The sequence below is a fragment of the Homo sapiens genome, chromosome 3 (genome assembly GCF_000001405.40).
Source record: "Homo sapiens chromosome 3, GRCh38.p14 Primary Assembly".
NCBI lineage: Eukaryota > Metazoa > Chordata > Mammalia > Primates > Hominidae > Homo > Homo sapiens.
The window spans coordinates 66534989-66555671 of NC_000003.12; the positions used below are offsets into that span (position 1 = coordinate 66534989).

General features: G+C 40.8%; 2 annotated features.

Annotated features, from left to right (window-relative positions):
• Positions 17897-18191: a silencer, noted in NCBI's record as "tiled region #1089; HepG2 Repressive non-DNase unmatched - State 24:Quies, and K562 Repressive non-DNase unmatched - State 24:Quies". NCBI's record gives its function as "represses a minimal TATA promoter and a strong SV40 promoter by Sharpr-MPRA in HepG2 and K562 cells {active_cell/tissue: HepG2 | K562}" and the evidence as "EXISTENCE:reporter gene assay evidence [ECO:0000049][PMID:27701403]".
• Positions 18720-19919: an enhancer, noted in NCBI's record as "MED14-independent group 3 enhancer chr3:66604132-66605331 (GRCh37/hg19 assembly coordinates)". NCBI's record gives its function as "activates an origin of replication core promoter dependent on BRD2, BRD4, P300/CBP and CDK7 cofactors, and independent of MED14, by STARR-seq in HCT116 cells {active_cell/tissue: HCT116}" and the evidence as "EXISTENCE:reporter gene assay evidence [ECO:0000049][PMID:35650434]".

Here is a 20683-nt window from a genome sequence, read left to right on the forward strand (position 1 = left end):
CTTCCTTTTTTCTTTTTTTGAGACAGGTTCTCACTCTGTCACGAAGGCTGGAGTGCAGTGGTGCAATCACAGCTCACTGCAACTTTGATCTCCTGGGCCCAAGGGATCCTCCTGCTTCATCCTCCCAAGTAGCTGGGACCACAGAGATGCGCTGCCGCTCCTGGCTAATTTTTAAAATTTTGTTTTAGAGATGGGGGTCTCCCTATGTTGCCCAGGCTCATCTTGAACTCCTGGGCTTCAGCGATCCTCCCACCTCGGCCCCCAAAATGCTAGGATTACAGACGTGAGCTATGTATCTTTAAAATCTAAATTGAAGGCCGGGCGCGGTGGCTCACGCCTGTAATCCCAACACTTTGGGAGGCCCAGGTGGGCGGATCATGAGATCAGGAGATTGAGGCCATCCTGGCTAACATAGTGAAACCCTGTCTCTACTAAAAATACAAAAAAATTAGCCGGGCGTGGTGGAGGACGCCTGTAATCCCAGCTATTGGGGAGGCTGAGGCAGGAGAATCGCTTGAACCCGGGAGGCAGAGGTTGCAGTGAGCTGAGATCATGGCACTGCCCTCCAGCCTGGGCAATAAGAGCGAGACTCCACCTCAAAAAAAAAAAAAATCTAGATTGAAAAGAACTTTCTGAAAGTTGACAATTGGGGGTTCTTTCTTGCCTGTCTCAGTTAAATATTAATGACAGCAATAATAATTAAAGTAACAACAATGACTGATATTTATGGAAGGCATAGTATGTACAGGGCTAGCCTAGCTTAACTATAACTGTTACCCGCCTATGAAAGGACTACCTGTGGTCTAGAGACAGTAAATAACTTCGCTAAGTTCTCATTGTCAGTAGTAAGTGGCAGAGCAGGAACTCAAAGACTATTTGACTCCACAAGTGCGCTCTAAATATTACTGTCTCTCATCTCCCTTTGTCTTATTTTAGGTTCAGTGAGGCTGAACTTATGAAGTGTGATCTTTGCTTTCAAAATGGAGCATTTTTGTGTGCTACAGGACTAAGCCAGTGGTGCAAAGTTATCCATGAAGTCAGATGGTAGGTGTGGACAGACAATGCATGATACACAGGCAAAAACTCAATGGAGAAACTCAATGACCTGCAGACTTAGTCTGCACTGATAGCAAAACGCTTTCCCCAATGATTTATTTTTCCCTTGCAAAGCAGACACTAGATTAGGAAGAGAGTGTTGTCACCATAATATGAGGCTTATCAAAAATTGGTGGAAAGGTAAGAAAACTGTATCTATTATATATTTTTAAGGCAAAATTATGTTGTCTTCCTTGAACATAAATTAAAAAGCTTAGACAGGACACCAAAAGCACAGAAAAAAGCACATAAAAGAAAAAAAAGGATGAATTGGACTTTATCAAAATTAAAAATTAATACACTTCAAATGACATTGTAAAGTGAAAAGATGACCCACACAGTGAAAGAAAATATTTGCAAATTATCTGTCTGATAAAGGGGTTGTGTCCTTACAACTCAATATTAACCCAATTAAATAATCACCAGGCCGGGCACGGTGGCTCATGCCTGTAATCCGAGCACTTTGGGAGGCCAAGGCGGGAGGATCACAAGGTCAGGAGATCGAGACCATCCTGGCTAACATGGTGAAACCCCATCTCTACTAAAAAATACAAAAAATTAGCTGGGCCTGGTGGCAGGCGCCTGTAGTCCCAGCTACTTGGGAGGCTGAGGCAGGAGGATGGCATGAACCCGGGGGGCAGAGCTTGCAGTGAGCCGAGATCGTGCCACTGCACTCCAGCCTGGGTGACAGAGCAAGACTATGTCTCAAAAATAAATAAATAAATGACCAAAAGATCTGAATAGATATTTCACCAAAGAAAATATACCGATGAGCAATAAGCAGTTGAAAAGGTGGTAATATCATTAGACTTTAGGAAAATGTAAATTAAAGTCACCATAAGATGCTACTTCATGCTCACTAGAGTGGCTGTAATAAAAAAGACACAATAACAAGTGCTGACAAGGATGTGGGGAAACTGGAACACCCATGCATTGCCTGTGGAAATGTGAAATAGCTCAGTTACTTTGGAAAATTCCAGTCATATAAAGGATTTTGTTTCCTCGATCTAGTTTCCTTGCATATTGGAATGCCTTTTTTGTGGTATGTTTCACATGTTGTTTTTTTGTGACCTAAAATTTTTTTTACATCAAAAATATCTTAAATCCTTTAAAAGATGAAGTAGCTAAACTTAGACCTTTTTGTTTTTGTTTTTGTTGTAACTTCTTTTAATCAAATTTATCGCAAGCAGCAGTTTATACCCAGAGCGGTGGATAATTAAATTTAAAATTCAGCTTTATTTAAATAATTTGATTTAAAATTTTGATAGGTGTCAGTTTTAATTTATATTTTGCCTTTTAAATTTAAGAGATAATTTAAAACATTTTAGAATAGAAACCATTTAAAATATTTTAATATTTTATATTTACTTACATACATATATTAAATAGAATGCATGCATATTTACGTGTGTTTGTGTTTGTTGATTTCCCTTCTCCTTCTTCCCCACACTATTTTTATATAGGGTGTGTTATTGTGGTTAAGTTTACAGTTGAGTCCACAGGGCTTATAATGTTGAGATGGGATCCAAAAGAATTAGAAAAATGGTCCTCATGCAGAAATCCCAGACTTCAGGTTGGATACAGGAACCAAAGAAATTTTGTGTTGCCTTCTTCTGGGAAGTGGATGAGATCGAGATGAGATTTCATGGCAAAATGTTAACTGGAAACTTTAAAAAAATATATACCTATGGAAAGGTATGTTGAGCAGCCAAAGGAACGAACTGTATTTATTTAGCAGCTAACTCTTGTTCTAATTTGGGAGGAGTCACCGATTGCATGTGCTCCCTCTCTTATTACAAAAGTCAGAGGGAGATGATAGGTTGTTACTCTTCATTCTGCCTGGACGCCAGGGTGGGAGCACATGAACCCGAGCTCTGCTACTTCTGTGCAGGGCTTTGAATTCTGATTGAGTGACACAGAGGAATATTATCACGGTTCACTCCGGACCGCAGCCTGTTTTTGTCTTAGGACCTTGGTCATAGTACTGCTCCCCCTGCCTGGAGCTTTTTGCCCCAAATCTCCTGTGGCAGCTCTGTTACTTCTTTCAGGTCTCGGCTCCAACGTCACTCCCCTGGCCATCTAAAACAGCCACCTCTTCTCATCATTCTCTGTTCTCTAACTGGGCTTTATTTTTCCATATGGCACATATACAGAATTATATATTTATTTTACATTGCTTTTTTTTGGTACTACAATGTACTGTATTCTCGTCAAGAATACAAACACTGTTTTGTTCACCACTTCATCTCCGGGGTGAGAACAGTGCCTAGCACAAGTAAGTGCTCAATACATTTTTGTGAAAAGTGAATCAATAAATGAAAGCTAGCCCAGTGCTTGGCAGGCCAATAAATACCTGTGAAACAGAACTGTATTAGTATTAGTTCTATATCAGGCTCACTTGGGCAGAAATTGAATCTGGTGAGTGACACAAAGATGAACACATAATAGAGTTTACTTCCAGCAGCAATTTGTTTCTTTTGTTAAGTTATGAAGCATGAAAACTTGGCCTAATTTAAAATGGCAACTGCTTGCAGGCCCTGACACAGTATCTGCCAACTTCCACTCAAATACTTAATGAGAACTAAGAAAAATATAGAAACCAGCCCTGACAGACAATCAGATGTAGAGCATCAGAAGAATTTTCACTAAGTCAAATGGTGCAGTATTAGGAAAGCAACTTGCAGTTCTCATGAAACAGTGAAGCCTGTTCCCTCAAAAGAAATTAAAACACACTTTCTTTGCTAGTAAGTGACACTAGTTAAAAGACAAGAAACAAAATATAGCATGTTGGTTACAAAATGCACCCCTACCCCCCAAGGAAATTAAAAAGAAAAGATTAGACTTAAAAGAATGAGTAAGATTTTTCTGGCAAATGCAAATGAAAAGAACACAGAGGTGGGAAAATTATTCTCTGACAGTGTAGAATCTGAGGCAAAAAAAGCATTAATGAGACAAAAGAGGAAATTTTATACTGATATAAGTTAAAATTCACACCAAAGGTAGAATAGTCAGTAATGTACATGCATTGTTTATCAAAGAGCCAGAAAAAAAGGAAGAATGGATAAAAGGTAATTGTGAGAGCTTCTGAAACATTTTTCATTTACTTTTACAAATCTGGTAGTTAAAAAATACACGTAGAGGAGAAAATCTGAACAATAAATTAAGATTTAATAGTATATTTGTATCCAGAAACTATATCCTCTTCTTGGGCACCCATTAATTTTTATAAAAATTGACTATAGGTTAGCATAGTGAGAAAATAACTTCCCCAAATGAAAATACAGATCAAATGTCCTGAAGATAGTGCAATAAAATTAGAAGTGAATAACAAAAGTGTAAGAAAGAAATTTTAGGCCAGGCGCAGTGGCTCATGCCTGTAGTCCCAGCAGTTTAGGAGGCCAAGGTGGGAGAACTGCTTGAGCTCAGGAGTGAGACCAGCCTGAGCAACATAGTGAAACTCTAGCTCTAAATTAAACAAACAAGCAAAAAAAAAACCAGCCACATTTTGTGGTGTGTGCCTGTAATCCCAGCTACTTGGGAGGCTGAGGCGGGAGGATTGTTTGAGTGCAAGAGGTCAAAGCTGCAGTGAGCTATGACCACACCACTGCATTCTAGCCTTCGTGACAGAGTGAGACCCTGGCTCAAAAGAAAGAAAGAAAGAGAGAGACAGAGAGAGAGAGGCAGACAGAAAGGAAGGAAGGAAGGAAGGAAGGAAGGAAGGAAGGAAGGAAGGAAGGAAGGAAGGAAGGAAGGAAGGAAGGAATTTTAGAAATAAATAAAAATAGGTCCAAGTGTGATGGGGCTCATAACAGTAATCCCAGCACTTTGGGAGGACAAGTCAGTGGATCGCTTGAGCTTAGGAGTTTGAGACCAGCCTGGGGAACATGGTGAAACCCTGTCTCTACCAAAAATACAAAAAATTAGCCAGTCTTGGGTCCGCCTGTGGTCCTAGCTACTTGAGAGGCTGAGGTGGGAGGATCGCTTCAGCCAGGGAAGTGGAGGTTGCAATGAGCCGAGATCACATCACTGCACTCCACCTGGGTGACAGAGTGAGACCTCATCTCAAAACAAACAAACAAACAAACAAATTTTCCCCAAAAATACTGAGTCAAAAGAGAAATAAAAAGTATGATTTCTGATGATTTAGAAATCAATGTAAAAAGAATATTTTCAGAAAACCAGCAAAACCAAACTCTGAGCAAAATCATTGGCTTAAGGAAGTACAAAAATAAATGAAGTGAATGTTCAACACAGAACTTATCAAAGTGATAAAACATAGGCATTGAAAATAGAAGGAAAAATAATATTGAGCAAATGTTAGTGGATTTGAAAAGAAGAACAATTTAATTGATAAATAATTAGATAAGTTTTAAAAGAAAAATAGTAAAATAGACAAATCGTGAGATTTGTCTGGGTAAAATTTTTACCCAGAAAAAGAGGGAAAACAGAATAAAAGAAATTTCAAATGAAAAACAGCAATGAAAAACAGATGTCCTCTGTCTATTAATACGTTTGAGGATTTGAAAGACATGGATGATATTTTGTGAGAACATAAAACTACCAAATAATCATGGATGAAAATTGAACTATTTGTTAAAAAATTATCTCTAAAGTAGATTTAAGGCCAAGCCAATGAGGTCTCAGACCATCACAAAATAAATAATTCCTATCTTGACTACATAAACTTTTTCAGAGTAAGATAAGTTCAGACATTATCAAACAAAATTTAACGTTATGTTATAATAATCATTTTTGATAACCAAGTACAGATTATATTAGTATTTCAAAGAAGTTTTATACATGTGATACTTCAGAAGGTTTAATATAAAAATTAATGTTTAATAAATGTAGAAAAGCCACCTAATATTATCAAGTTCATATCTAATAAAAATTTCTTAGAAAAAATATGGAGAATAGTCTATTTCCTCAGTGTGCGAAGAACATTTATCCCATATCAGCAGCAAACAATGTTAAATAGCAAAACGTATTCCCATTAAAATTAGATTTACGATTGTTCTGGATGCTCTGGCCAATGCCAATAATATATGAAATAAAAATATGAGAAATAGTATTGGAAAGAATGAGAAGAAGTTCTTACTAACCTATAAGATAGGTTAGTAAATTCCTGGGATATGATGTAAATAAAAATTGGTAGCATTTTGAATACCAGCAATAACTAGCTAGAAAATACAGTGGATAAAGTAGATTTCATTCCAAATAAAAGTAACAACGATAAAAAATGAACTACAATCAATTTCAATAAGAAATGTATGTCTCATATATATTATAAAACTAAAAAAGAGCCTTTGAAATTATTTATGATGCAATGTTATTTTTAAATGGCAGGACATAAATATATATTACAAGTTTAATGTTATATTACATGTCATATATATGCTTAGAAAAATATGGAAAGGAAATATAAGTAAATGTCAACAGCAGTAAAATAATAGGTAAGAGTTTTGCAGTCAGCAGAACAGGGTTGAATCCTCTCCACCTCTTGCAGAGACCCACTGAGGGTTAAGGCTTCAACCTGTGAATTTTGGGGAAATACAATTGAGTCCACAACAGATGCATTTGTGGAGGAAGGAGAAATCTGAAATTTACATTGATGTCTTTCAGAGTGCGCACAGGTATGTTAATATCATTCATTCATGGCAGTAACAATAAATATCCTTAATATTTTGCAGCTTATAAAGCCAGCTGACATATTTTTCTCAAATCACGGAAATGCCACCTCATCACTGAGGTCTTCTCTGAATAGCACCCCATGTATCATGTGGCATTATGTGTATATAATACTGTCCCCAGCCATTGTTCTCTTACCTAGCTTTACTTTTCATTTATCATCTTATCATCATCCAATATATTTGTTTTTTCAGCTTTATTAAGACATAAATGACAAAAATGGCATATATTCAAGTATACAATGTGATGATTTGATATACATATACATTGTGGGATGATTAGTCCAATTAAGTGAATGAACACATTCATCACCATGCAAGTTACCATCTTTTGTGTGTTTGTGTGTGATGAGGATACTTAAGATGTGCTCTCCCAGCAAATTTCAAGTAAATAATACAGTATTATTAAACATTATTATTAACTACAGTAAGCAAGCTATACATTAGACCCTCAGAACTTATTCATCTTATAACTGAAAGTTTGAACTCTTTGGCCAACATCTCCCCATTTTCATCCCCTTTCAGCCCCTGACAATCACAGTTCTATTCTCCACTTCCGAGTTTGACTTTTTTTTTTTTTTTTTAAAGAGACAGTGTCTCATTCTGTCACCCAGGCTGGAGTGCAGCGGCATTTTCATAGCCCACTGTAACCTTGATCTTCTGGGCCCAAGTGATCCTCCTGCCTTAGTCCCCTGAGTAGCTAGGACTACAGGCATGCACCACCATGGCCAGCTAATTAAAAAAAAAAAAAAAGTAGAGATGGAGTCTTGCTATGTTACCCAGGCTGATCTTGAACTCTTGGCCTCAAGCAATCCTTCCTCCTTGGCCTCCCAAAGTGCTGGGGTTACAGACATGATCCACTGTGCCCGGCCTATGAGCCTGACTTTCTAAAGATTCCACATAAAAGTGCGATCATACAGTATTTGTCTTTCTGTGTCTTATTTCACTTAACATAATGTCCTCCAAGTTAATCTACAGTGTTGCAAATGGCAGGGTTTCCTTTTTTAAGGCTGAGTAATATTCCATTGTGTATATATACCACATTTTTATTATCCATTCATCTTTCAGTGGATGCTTAGATTTTTTCTGTATCTTGGCTACTATAAATAATGCTGCAATAAACACAAAGGTGCAGGTGTCTCTTTGATATATTGATTTCATTTCCTTTGATTATATACCCAGTAGTGAAATTGCTGGATCATATGGTAGTTCTGTTTTTAATATTTTGAGGAACTTCATACTGTTTTCCATAATGGCTGTATCAATTTACATTCCCATCAACAGTGTACAGAGTTCTCTTTTCTCCACGCCTTTGCCAATACTTATTTCTTATTTTTGTTTGACAACAGTCACCCTAACAGGTATGATGTGATATTTCATTGTGGTTTTGATTTGCCTTTCCCTGATTATTAGTGATGTTGAACATTTTTTTTTCATATATCTATTAGTCCATTTGTATGTCTTCCTTGGAAAAGTACCTATTCAGTTGCCCACTGTTTAAATGGGTGGTTTTTTTTTTTTTTTTTTTTTTTTTGCTATTGAGTTGTGTAAGTTCCTGGATATATTTTGGATATTAACCCCTTATCTGATATGTGGTTTGCAAATATTATCGCTCACTTTGTAGGCTGCCTCTTCATTTTGTTGATTGATTGCTTTGCTGTGTAGAAGCTTTTGGGTTTCATGTAGTCCCACTTGTTTATTTTTTCTTTTGTTGCCTGTGCTTTTGGTGTCATACCCAAAAAAATCATTGCAAGTATTGGTTTAGTTATTTTTTGCCCATTGCTGATACTAGGAAAGACTTCCTGAGAGCATAATATACATTTGTTTTGTTCACTATTGTGTCCACATCCCAGCACCCAGAACAATGCCTGGTGCACAGTAGGTGACCAATACATTTTTACTTGAAAGATTAAGTTATTATGTGATCATCCCAAGTAACTGTGTGGTTAAGTAGGTAGTGTAGGTACTGTTTATAGATAAGGGACAAGTAGCTCATATTGTGTCTGGAATTGGTGGGTTTTTGGTCTCACTGACTTCAAGAAAGAAGCCGCAGACCCTCGCGGTGAGTGTTACAGTTCTTAAAGGCGGCGTGTCCGGAGTTTGCTCTTTCTGATGTTTGGATGTGTTTGGAGTTTTATTCCTTCTGGTGGGTTCGTGGTCTCGCTCGCTCAGGAGTGAAGCTGCAGACCTTCGCGGTGAGTGTTAAAGCTCATAAAGGCAGTGCGGACCGAAAAAGCAAGATTTATTGCAAAGAGCAAAAGAACAAAGCTTCCACAGTGTGGAAAGGGACCTGAGCAGGTTACCAGGGCTGCCTGGGACAGCCTGCTTTTATTCCCTTGTCTGGCCACACCCACATCCTGCTGACTGGTCCATTTTACAGAGAGCTGATTGGTCTGTTTTGACAGGGCGCTGATTGGTGTGTTTACAATCCCTGAGGTAGACACACAAGTTCTCCAAGTCCCCACTAGATTAGCTAGACACAGAGCACTGATTGCTGCATTCACAAACCCTGAGCTAGACACAAGGTGCTGATTGGTGCATTTACAAACCTTGAGCTAGACACAGAGTGCTGATTGGTGCATTCACAATCCCTTAGCTAGACATAAAGGTTCTCCAAGTCCCCACTAGATTAGCTAGACACAGAGCACTGATTGGTGCACTTACAAACCTTGAGCTAGATACATTGTGCTGATTGGTACATTTACAAACCTTGAGCTAGACACAGAGTGCCAATTGGTGTATTTACAATCCCTTAGCTGGACATAAAGGTTCTACAAGTCCCCACTAGACTCAGGAGACCAGCTGGCTTCACCTAGTGGATCACGCACCAGGGCTGCAGGTGGAGCTGCCCGCCAGTTCCGAGCCGTGAGCCTGCACTCCTCAGCCCTTGGGCGGTGGATGGGACCAGGCGCCGCAGAGCAGGGGGCGGCGCTCCTTGGGGAGGCGCTCCTTGGGGAGGCTCGGGCCACACAGGAGCCCACAGCGGGGGAAGGCTCAGGCATGGCGGGCTGCAGGTCCTGAGCCCCGCCCCGCAGGGAGGCAGCTGAGGCCAGGCGAGAATTCGAGCACAGTGCCGTTGGGCAAGTACTGCTGGGGGACCCGGCGCACCCTCCGCAGCTGCTGGCCTGGGTGCTAAGCCCCTCACTGCCTGGCCGGTGTTGCCGGCTGCCGCTCCGAGTGCGGAGCCCGTGGAGCCCATGCCCACCCGGAACTCGCACTGGCCGGCAAGCGCCGTGCGCATCCCGGGTTCCCACCCATGCCTCTCCCTCCACACCTCCCCACAAGCCGAGGGAGCCGGCTCTGGCCTCAGCCAGCTCAGAGAGGGGCTCCCACGGTGCAGTGGCAGGCTGAAGGTCCCCTCAAGCGCTGCCAGAGTGGGCGCGGAGGAGGTGCCCACAGCGAGCGAGGGCTGCGCGTGCTGCCAGCACACTGTCACCTCTCAATGTGGTCACAAGGATTCTGATTTCCTGTCTCATAGGCTTTCTATTACCAGTACATTCTGTTATCAGTCTTCATGACTCATGATCTTGTCTTAGATTATTAGATAAATATATGGGTTCTTTTTGAAAAGCTTTGTTGAGATATAATTCATGTATCATATAATTCACCCACTTAAAGAAAACAATCAAATGGTTTGTAGTATATTCACAGAGTTGTGCAATCATTATTACATGATTTTTATAACAATATCATCACCTCCAAAAGAATTGCCCTATCCTTTAGGCAGCACCCCCCCAATTCCTCCATCACTCCCAGCCCCAGGTGACTATTAATCTGTCTGAAGTCCTTATAGATTTGCCTTATAGCTCACTGAAACCTCGAGCCCTTGGGCTCAAGCCACCCTCCTGCCTCAGCCTCCTGAGCAGCTAGGACTACAGGTGTGCACCACCAAGACTGGCTACTTACTAAAAATTTTTTTATAGAGATGGAGTCTCGCTATATTGCCCAGGCTGGTCTTGAACTCTGGTCGCATGCAATCCTCCCATTTTAAGTATATATACAGCTTCTATACATTGCTTGTTAGAATTATTTCTAGATGGTTTAGGTTTTTGTTATTATTTTGAATGAATTGAGTGTTCTAGAGCTGTGCTGTCCAATGTAGTAGCTGCTTGACATATGCAGCTATTGAGCACATGAAATATGGTTGGTCCTGTTTCTTTTTAAAGTCGCTACTAGCACATTTAAAATGACGTACGTGACAAATTATATTTCTGTGGAATGGTCATGTTCCTGACAGAACAAATTTATCAGATGAATATAAAAATATGTATTTCATTTTGTATTTTGTAGCCAAAATACTACAAGCTCTCAAGGAAAACTGAGATTTGCTGTGAGGGTAAAATACACACCAGAATTTTTTTTTTTTTTTTTTTTTTTTTGAGACGGAGTCTTGCTCTGTTACCCAGGCTGGAGTGCGGTGGTGCAATCTCGGCTCAATGCAGCCTCTGTCCCCTGGGTTCCAGCAATTCTCCTATTCTCCTGGCTCAGCCTCTTGGGTAGCTGGGATTACAGGTGCACGCCACCACGCCCGGCTAATTTTTGTGTTTTTAGTAGAGATGGGGTTTCGCCATGTTGGCCAGGCTGGTCTTGAACTCCTGACCTCAGGTGATCCCCCCCACCTTGGTCTCCCAAAGTGCTGGGATTGCAGGCTTGAGCCACTGCGCCCGGCCTACACGCCGGAATTTTAAAGCTCGGTATGAAAAAAAGAATGTAAATATTTCATTACTAATTTTAAGTGTTAATTACATATTGAAGTGATACTACTTTGGGTCATATATTTAAGTAATATTTAACGATAAAATATGTTATTAAAATTAATTTCACCTGTATCTTTTAACTTGTTTAATGTCACGAATAGAACATTTAAAGTTGCATATGTGACTTGTGGTATATTAATATTGGATAGTGATGGTCTAGACATAAAATTTATCAGGTAAGTTTAAAATGTGTATTCCACTTTGTATTTTGTAGCCAAAATCTTAAAATCCCTCAGAAAGAAACATATTTTGAAAGGTAGTAGAGGAAGATCCCATGATCAGAAAAGACTGAAGATATACCATGAAAATAGTGTTTGGCTCTATATCCAAATATATCACAAATTTGATGACTAGGCATGGGCTGCCCACATCTATCCCAGTCTGGGCCTTCACAATAGCCTCTCAATGGGATGTCCCTCTTCTGTTCTTGCCCTCTCCCTGGGAATAATCCCCACACCAGTCAGAGGGCTGTTTCCATGATGCTGGTCAGGTTCCACCACTTCCTGCCTCAGCACCCGTCAATGGCTTCCCAAAGCCTTACGTGATCTGGGCTTCCTCTCCCATCTCTCTTTCCAGTCTAGGCTTCGCCCATCAGCTCTGGCTACACCATCACCTCTCCTTGTTCCCTTTCTCTTGGGATACTCTCCTGGCCTGGTCTTGTCAGGGCTGGCTCCTACCTGTCATTCATATCTCAGCTTCCTTTGCAGTGGGTTTTCAGAGCGTCTCATGAAGAGTAAAGACTATGAAGCTATCCTGCCTGAGTAGCTGTGTGACTCTGGGAGAGTTTACTTTTCTTTTCTTTTTTTCTTGTTTTTTTTGTTTGTTTGTTTGTTTTTTGAGATGGACTGTCACTCTGTCGCCCAGGCTGGAGTGCAGCGGCACGATCTTGGCTCACTGCAAGCTCCAACTCCTGGGTTCGTGCCATTCTTCTGCCTCAGCCTCCTGAGTAGCTGGGACTACAGGTGCCCGCCACCACGCCCAGCTAATTTTTTGTATTTTTAGTAGAAATGGGGTTTCACCGTGTTAACCAGAATGGTTTTAATCTCCTGACCTCGTGATCCGCCCGCCTAGGCCTCCCAAAGTGCTGGGATTACAGGCGTGAGCCACCGTGCCCAGCGGGAGAGTTTACTTTTCTATTCCAGTCTGCTCATCTGCAAAAGGGTATAATTATGGCGTCCTCAGAAGATTAAATGAGTGATTACATGAACAATGCTTACAACAGTGTCTGGCATATAGTAAGTACCATGTTTATATCATCATCATCACTACCACCACCATCATCATTGTCACTATTAAATGTTTGGCAATCCCAGCACTTTGGGAGGCTGAGGCAGGTGGATTGCTTGAGCTCAGGAATTCAAAACCAGCCTGGGTAACATCGTAAAACCCCATCTCTACTAAAAATACAAAAAAATAGCCAGGTTGGTGGCATGTGACTGTTGTCCAAGCCACTCGGGAGGCTGAGGTGGGAGGTTGAGGCTGCAGTGAGTCCTCATTGCGCCACCATACTTGAGCCTGGGCAACAGAGTGAGACCTTATCTCAAAACAAAACAAAACAAAAAACTTGGCAACATGTATCAAGGAACTTAAGAAAGGGTCTCACCACTGATCCAACAATTCAGTTGAAGGAATTTATCCCAAGTAAATGTTTACTTAGACAAGAGTATATGGATTTGCATACCTCATGGGATTTAAAAAATTATTTTAAAACAATTACAATTATCTATTATAAAATAATTACAATAATATATTTTAAAATAGGAATGATAAATTGGAAATAGCCTACGTATTGATTAAATACCAACAACAGTGAAATAACAGACAGTCATGAAAAATTACCTAGATTGGAAATTCTTAACGTTTTCTTGTTCCATGGACCCCTTTGGCAATCTGGATAAATGTAATCAATATCTTCTCAGAATAATGTTTTTAATGGTGTAAAACTGAATACATAGGAATGTGAAGAAAACAGATACATGGAAATAAAATAATCAGAATACTAAATTTTTTTTGTAATGTATTAATAAATGTGATTTTTTTTTTTTTTTTGAGACAGGATCTGACTGGAGTGCAGTGGTGCAATCACGGCTCACTACAGCCTCAACCTCCCAGGCTCAAGCCATCCTCCCACCTCAGCGTCCCGAGTAGCTGGAATTACAGGCGCACATCACCACACCTGGCTAATTTTTGTATTTTTGGTAGAGATGAGGTTTCACCATATTGCCCAGGCTGGTCTTGAACTCCTGGTATCAAGTGATCCTCCTGCACTTTTGGCCTCCCAAAGTGTTGGGATTACGGTCGCGCGCCATGGTGCCCAGCTGATTCTTCTTTTTAAAGGCATAACATAAAAAGATCTAGTAATAGGTCTAATAATTATATTTTTCAAGTAGTGGTAAACATAAATACATCAAGATACCTGTGACAAACTCTCCGTGGTATATTAATACTTATGGTTTTTAGTGGAGACAAATTCACAGGTGCTGCTAACACAACTGTGATTTATTGTCTATACCAAGAATTTGAAAGATATGTTAAATTGCAGCTAGAATTGATAAAAATAAAGATGTAGTCTCCCCGCCAACCCAAATTCATAAACCCTCAGGTTTAAAATCCGTGATCTCGCTTATAGGTCCCCAGGCTTTTTCTATAAAGGGCCACATAATAAAAATTTAGACTTATGGGCCATATGGTCTCAGTCACAACTACTGAGTTCCCTGTTTGTAATGTGAAAGCAGTCACAGACAACATGCAAAAAAATGAGCATGGTCGTGTTCTGATAAAACTTTATTTACTAAAGAAGGCAGAGGGCCTGATTTGGCTTGTGGAGTATACTTTACTGTTCCCAGTCTAGAATAAAAGTTTCTAACTTGGAAAAATGTTCCCAAACTGCTAAATGAAACAGAGCAGGTTGCAAATAATTATGAAGTGTTCCCTTTTGGTGGAAAAAGTATATCTCTATGTATGTCCCGTGCATATGAACAGATGTATAAAAATACACAAGTTTGGAAGGGCTTACTAAAATGTCAATGGTGATTGTTTCTGGGTGATGGGAATATGAACACTCTATACTTTTCTATATTCTCTCATTGTTTTTCAATCAGGGTACATTAATTTTATAGTTAGAAAAGTAAGAATTAGTTGAGCACAGTGGCTCCCGCCTGTAATCCCAGCACTTTGGGAGGCTGAGGAGGGCGGATCGCTTGAGATCAAGAGATCCAGACCAGCCTGGGTGACACGGCGAAACCCCATTTCTACTAAAAATATTAATACAAAAAAAATAGCTGGGTGTGGTGGTGCATACCTGTGGTCCCAGCTACTTGGGAGGCTGAGGTGGGAGGATCACTTGAGCCCGGGAGGCAGAGGTTGCAGTGAGCCAAGATCGTGCCACTGCACTGCAGCCTGGGTGACGAAGTGAGGCCCTGTTTCAATTAAAAAAAAAAAAAGGAAAGAAAAATAAGAATTAAAACAAATAAACTGGAGGGGCTTTTAAAGGTCCAAACTCATACGAACCTTGAATCCCTCTTGAATCCCTCCAACCTTCTTCCTAAGTCCTCGGTGAGAAAAAACTCACCTGTATCCTTTCACTATACTGATATTCTGTTTTATGCAGTTAAAACATTATTCTAATATGGGATCCAGCAGACTTCTCCAGGCTACCAAAGGGGTCTGTGGAACAAGAAAAAGTGAATGTAGTATCTGCCCGCTCCCTGGTCATAACCCTCCAGGAGTCAAATGACGCAAGCCTTAGTCTTTCACTGTAGTGCTCTCAGAATTAAAAGCAAAATTCATATGAAGAATCCAGCAAAGGATGGGTAACTGGAGATCCTCAGTAAGTGTTCATTCTGTTCTCCTTTCCTTCTGTAGGCTGGTGCCACCAACATTTGGAATTAGCTATCAGTTCTCTTATCTGAAATCGTATTGCTTCCAGAATGGGTACCTCTAGTTGTTTTACCAATTCGTCACTTGCATCAGACAGAGCCAAGTGTCACCCTCTGTGTTCCTCTCAAGCCCTCTGCTTTATTCCTTGCTGGCAGGACCCTAATGATGTCAGGTATTAATTTTGCTATGTGTTTTGGGAAGGTTATCCTTCCCCATCTCCAGGGAGGATTAAGTGCTGATTAGTATAAATTAGTGGTTTTCAACTGGGGCCATTCTGCCCTATCAGGGATACTAGACAATATCGGAGACTTTTTTATTATCACTTTTTATTATCAAAAGGGTTGCCACTGGCATCTAGTGGATAGAGGCCAGGGATGCTTCATATAATGCATAAGGCACTCCCCACAATAAAGAATAACCTTGTCCAAAATGTCAATAGTACCATGTTTTAGACACCTTCACCTAACCAATCATGGTAATTCCATTTCTTTTTCCAGGTGGTGAAACTGTGGCCAGTGAGCTCAAGAGAAATCCTGGGAGGAAAAAAACCCTTTTATCCCTGATATAAAAAATGCATGAGGAGAAACTGCCCTTCCTTACGGCCTTTCGATATTCCTGGGGAAAAATGTGATGGTTGCAGCTGCAGTAGGTTTTTGTCATTAATACAAAAGATGGCAGAGACAAGACAGGAAAAACACCGACCTCCTCAGTGACATTGCTGAGTCTGGGAAACAATCCTGCAACCTCCTTACTGCTCTGGACTTCTTATTGGTAAAATAGTTTGGGTTTTTTTTTCTTTTTACATTGAGACAGGGTCTTGTTCTGTCTCCCAGGCTGGGGTGCAGTGGCGTGATCTCAGCTCACTGCAACCTCTGCCTTCTGGGCTCAGATGATCCTCCCCTCTCGGCCTCCTGAGTAGCTGGGACCACAGGCATGTGCCATCATGCCCAGCTAACTTTTGTATTTTTTTTGTAGCAACAGGATTTTCCCATGTTACCCGGGCTGGTCTTGGATTCCTGGGCCCAAGTGATCCACCCACCATGGCTTCCCAAAGTGCTGGGATCACAGGAGTGAGCTGCTGTGCCTGGCCTAAAACAGTTTCTTTTAAAAATTTACTATTGTCCCGGCGTGGTGGCTCATACCTGTAATCCCAGCACTTTGGGAGGCTGAGGTGGGTGAATCACGAGGTCAGGAGTTTGAGACCAGCCTGGCCAACACAGTGAAACCCCATCTCTACTAAAAATACAAAAAATTAGCTGTGTGTAGTGGTGGGCACCTGTAATCCCAGCTACTTGAGAGGCTGAGGCAGGAGAATCACTTGAACCTGGGAGATGAAGGTTGCAGTGAGCTGAGATCATGCCACTGCAGTCCAGCCTGGGTGACAGAGTGAGACTTTGTCTCAGAAACAAAATAAATAAATAATAAATAAATAAATAAATAAATAAATAAAATAAAAATGTAAAAAAATGCTATTTGTTCTTTTTGTGTTATATGTAGCCTTTTAAAAATGTTAATGCTAGAGTTTATACAGGGTCCCTCCCCCATTCCATGGTTGTAGAAATTGAGACCTAAATGGTTTAGGGGACTTGCTTATGGTCACACAGCTTTTTAAGCAATGCAGATGGGACCAGAAAGTCAGCTGATACGATTGAGCCCTTAGTGTATTTACAATATTGTGCCTGTGCCTGGGGAAGTTCCCAGAAAATTAAGTATGAGTAAATTCAGAGGCTCTTTGGATAAAGATCTTACACTGGATCAACAATAATGACAATGAGCTGAGCACCTACTATGTGACAGCCACTTTATATATATTTATCTTGAATCTTCACAATCACCCTGAGTGGTTGGTATTATTTTTCTCATTTTGTAGGCAATGAAAATTGAAACATGGAGTTTCAATGGCTCACCCAAGGCTACACAGCAAGATGTTCATGAAATCAAACCTATGTCAGATCTTAGAATCCACTCTAATTCCACTATACCACATGACCTCCCTTCCTAAGCATCAAAGCCTACTAGACTCATGACAGCGCAAGCTCCAAAGTGGGTGCATCTGAAGGAAGATTTTGTCTTAATATATTTTACCCAGTGGATGATGCTTCTTAACAGTGACTTCAAGAGCAAACTAAAGAGTAATACTGAGGAAGAGAGTTCAGATAAAACACCCATCACCTACAGTTAAAGAGCAGTGAGGTTTGGGTAGGGTTGAGGGGTACGGCATACAGATGAAGATCTTGCTTCAAGATCGGACTCCCTGGGGAGCTACTCAGTTCTTCTCCTCGTTGTACTGCCAACCTCTGGCAAGCCAGCCATCAACACTGTGATATTAAGAGCACAATAGTGATCATTTCTTATGTGGTTGCCAGTCAGTACTGTGCTGTTCTTCCTAATAAGGATGAATAAACTAACTAACTTAGCATACATCGTTTCCTTTAGTCCTCTCAAAACCTAGGGAGGGATTTACCTTAAAAGCGACCCAACAAACCAACTGTGTTGCCCTTTGCCCAAGGCAACACAGCCAGCAACTGTAAGGAGACTCAGTTCCCACTATACCTCTGAGCCTCTGTCTTGTGCGTCTCCCCCTCAGACCTGCCTATTTCTCATTCCTTGTCTTTGCTGCAGCTGAGCCCCTGTTTGGAATGCTATCGCCCTCCCCCTCTTCCCGGTCATGTGTCACAGCTCAGGTGAAATCCTGCATCCTTGGGGGAAATGTGTCTGTGACCACTTTAGTCCACAGAGCTTTTCCCTTACTGATACCTCAAAAAAAGAAAAAAATTCGCTGAACTTTATTATGAACATCTTGTTGCACCTATCTTGATTTATTTCAGTTGATACTTAACATAAAAAAAGCACACATACGATTTAAAAATATTTCTCCAAATAGCCCTCTGCGTTAGGAAATAGAAAACCGCCACTTACTAGTTATGCCACTTTGTTCAATCACTCTTGAAACCTCAATTTCCTCAGCCCCTAAATGGGCATAATCTTACTAGGCCTCGGAGAACCTGCAGGGTTCTTGTGAGGACAGAACATTTTCCTACAGGAAAATGTTTAAAAAATGTAATTCCCTAGACCAGGAACTAGAAAGCCAAATGCCCACAAGAATCAAGCAGCGAATGAGGGAAGGAGGCCAGGGTAAGACAACAGGAATTAGTGGGGGTCTGGTGCCCTGGAGACCACATGTCCCATCTGAGGAGACAGCTGTTGCTCAGCTCCAGCCAATTACTGCCATTCAGGAATGAGGACCCAGTGTTGCGAGAGCTTAATTTTTCAAGAGACACAAAAAAACAAAGACTTAAAGTGACATCATTTGATTTTTGTAACATCGCTGGGTGCGGTGTTTCATGCCTGTTATCCCAGCACTTTGGGATGCCAAGGCAGGTGGATCGCTTCAGCCCAGGAGTTTGAGACCAGCCTGAGCAAAGCCCCATCTCTACAAATATAGAAAAATTAGTCAGGCATGGTGTCATGCGCCTATAGTTCCAGCTACTTGGGGAGGGGGCAGGGGCGGGTGCTGCAGTGGATGCATAGCTTGAGCCTGGGAGGTTGAAGCTTCAGTGAACTGATTGCTCCGCCGCACTCCAGCCTGGGTGACGGAGTAAGACCTACTCTCAAAAAAAACCAAACCAAAACAAAAAACAAACAAAACCCCCCATTATTTATGCCAAACTAAACGAAACATAATGAGTGTCTTTCCTATAGGAAGCTACTTTGCAACTTTGTTCTATATATGTGTATATTGCTCTAGACAAGAATATTTGGATTGGCTCTCTGAGTTATTTTGTGTAAAATGTTTTCTTCAATATATACTTAGTAAGTCTAAGTTTCGCTTTCTCAATAAGACTGTAAGGGTTTTTGGACACAATTTATACCTCCTGTATTGATGTGTAAGCCAAGCCTGATTAACAATCTTGGTAAATGGTAACTTACTTGTTTGTCTATTTGTGTGGTCCTTAAATGTCAGCATGAGTCAGCATTTCCTGAGTTGCTTGTTAAAAATGATGATTTCCCCCAGCAATTCCATCCCTAGAAATAGAACAGTGTACATTTATTCATCAAAAGACATGTACTAGGATGATCATAGCAGCACTATTCACAATAGCTGCAAACTGAAATCTATCCAATTGCCCATTAGCAGTCTTAGAATAAATTTAAAAATTGCATTACATTCACAATGAAAAATCTATGCAGCACTGAAAAAGAATAAACTGTAACTGCAGGCAGCAACATAGATGAATTTCACAAATACAAGGTCAAGCAAAATAAGTCAGACACCAAAGGGTGTACAATATATATTTCCATTTCTATAAATACAGAAATTGGTAAAACCTAATGCATGGGTTATAAATTAGAATAATAGTAACTGTTGGGGTCGGGCGCGGTGGCTCACGCCTGTAATCCCAGCACTTTGGAAGGCCAAGGTGGGCGGATCATGAGGTCAGGAGATTGAGACCATCCTGGCCAACATGGTGAAATCCTGTCTCTACTAAAAATACAAAAATTAGCTGGGTATGGTAGCACGCACCTGTAATCCCAGTTACTCGGGAGGCTGAGGCAGGAGAATCGCTTGAACCGGGAGGTAGAGGCTGCAGTGAGTGGAGATCGCGCCGTGCCACTGCACTCCAGCCTGGGTGACAGAGTGAGACTCCGTCTCAAAAAAAAAAAAAAACAAAACTACAAAAACAAACAAAAAAAGCAAAACAGTAACTGTTGGAGAGAAGTAGTGATAAAGGGAAAAAAAGAGACTTCTAGGGTGCTGGCAGTGTTCTTTCTTGATCTGGGTTCTGGTTGCATGGGTGTGAAAATTAATTGAGGTGTCTACTTTTTGTACTTTTCTGTACATTAATATTGCAATGAAATGTTAAAATGCTAATTCCAGGGCCCTAGCCCAGACTGATAGAATCACCCTCTCTTGAGTGCAGGTGTGTGGGTGTGTCTGTGCATGTGTGTGGTCAACAGGGTCCCCAGGCATTTCTATGCACATCATTAGGGTAACATCCTTTGAAAATTACACCGCACTTGAATGACACACATATTTCCTTCTTCAAGGGGTTTCTGCAAGCACTCTTGGCTAACTCAGCAGCATCTGCCTTTCCTAGTTTCTTTTGTTGTATATGCCCATGTTTTACCAGAAGCCAAGAGGGACATAACGTTAAGAGGTCTTATGGGTACTTTCAAACAGTGGCACTTGGGGCAACAGAGAGAGACAGCTCTGATAATGTGCCAGCTTATAAAATATAGCTAAATATAATTAAATGTTTATGG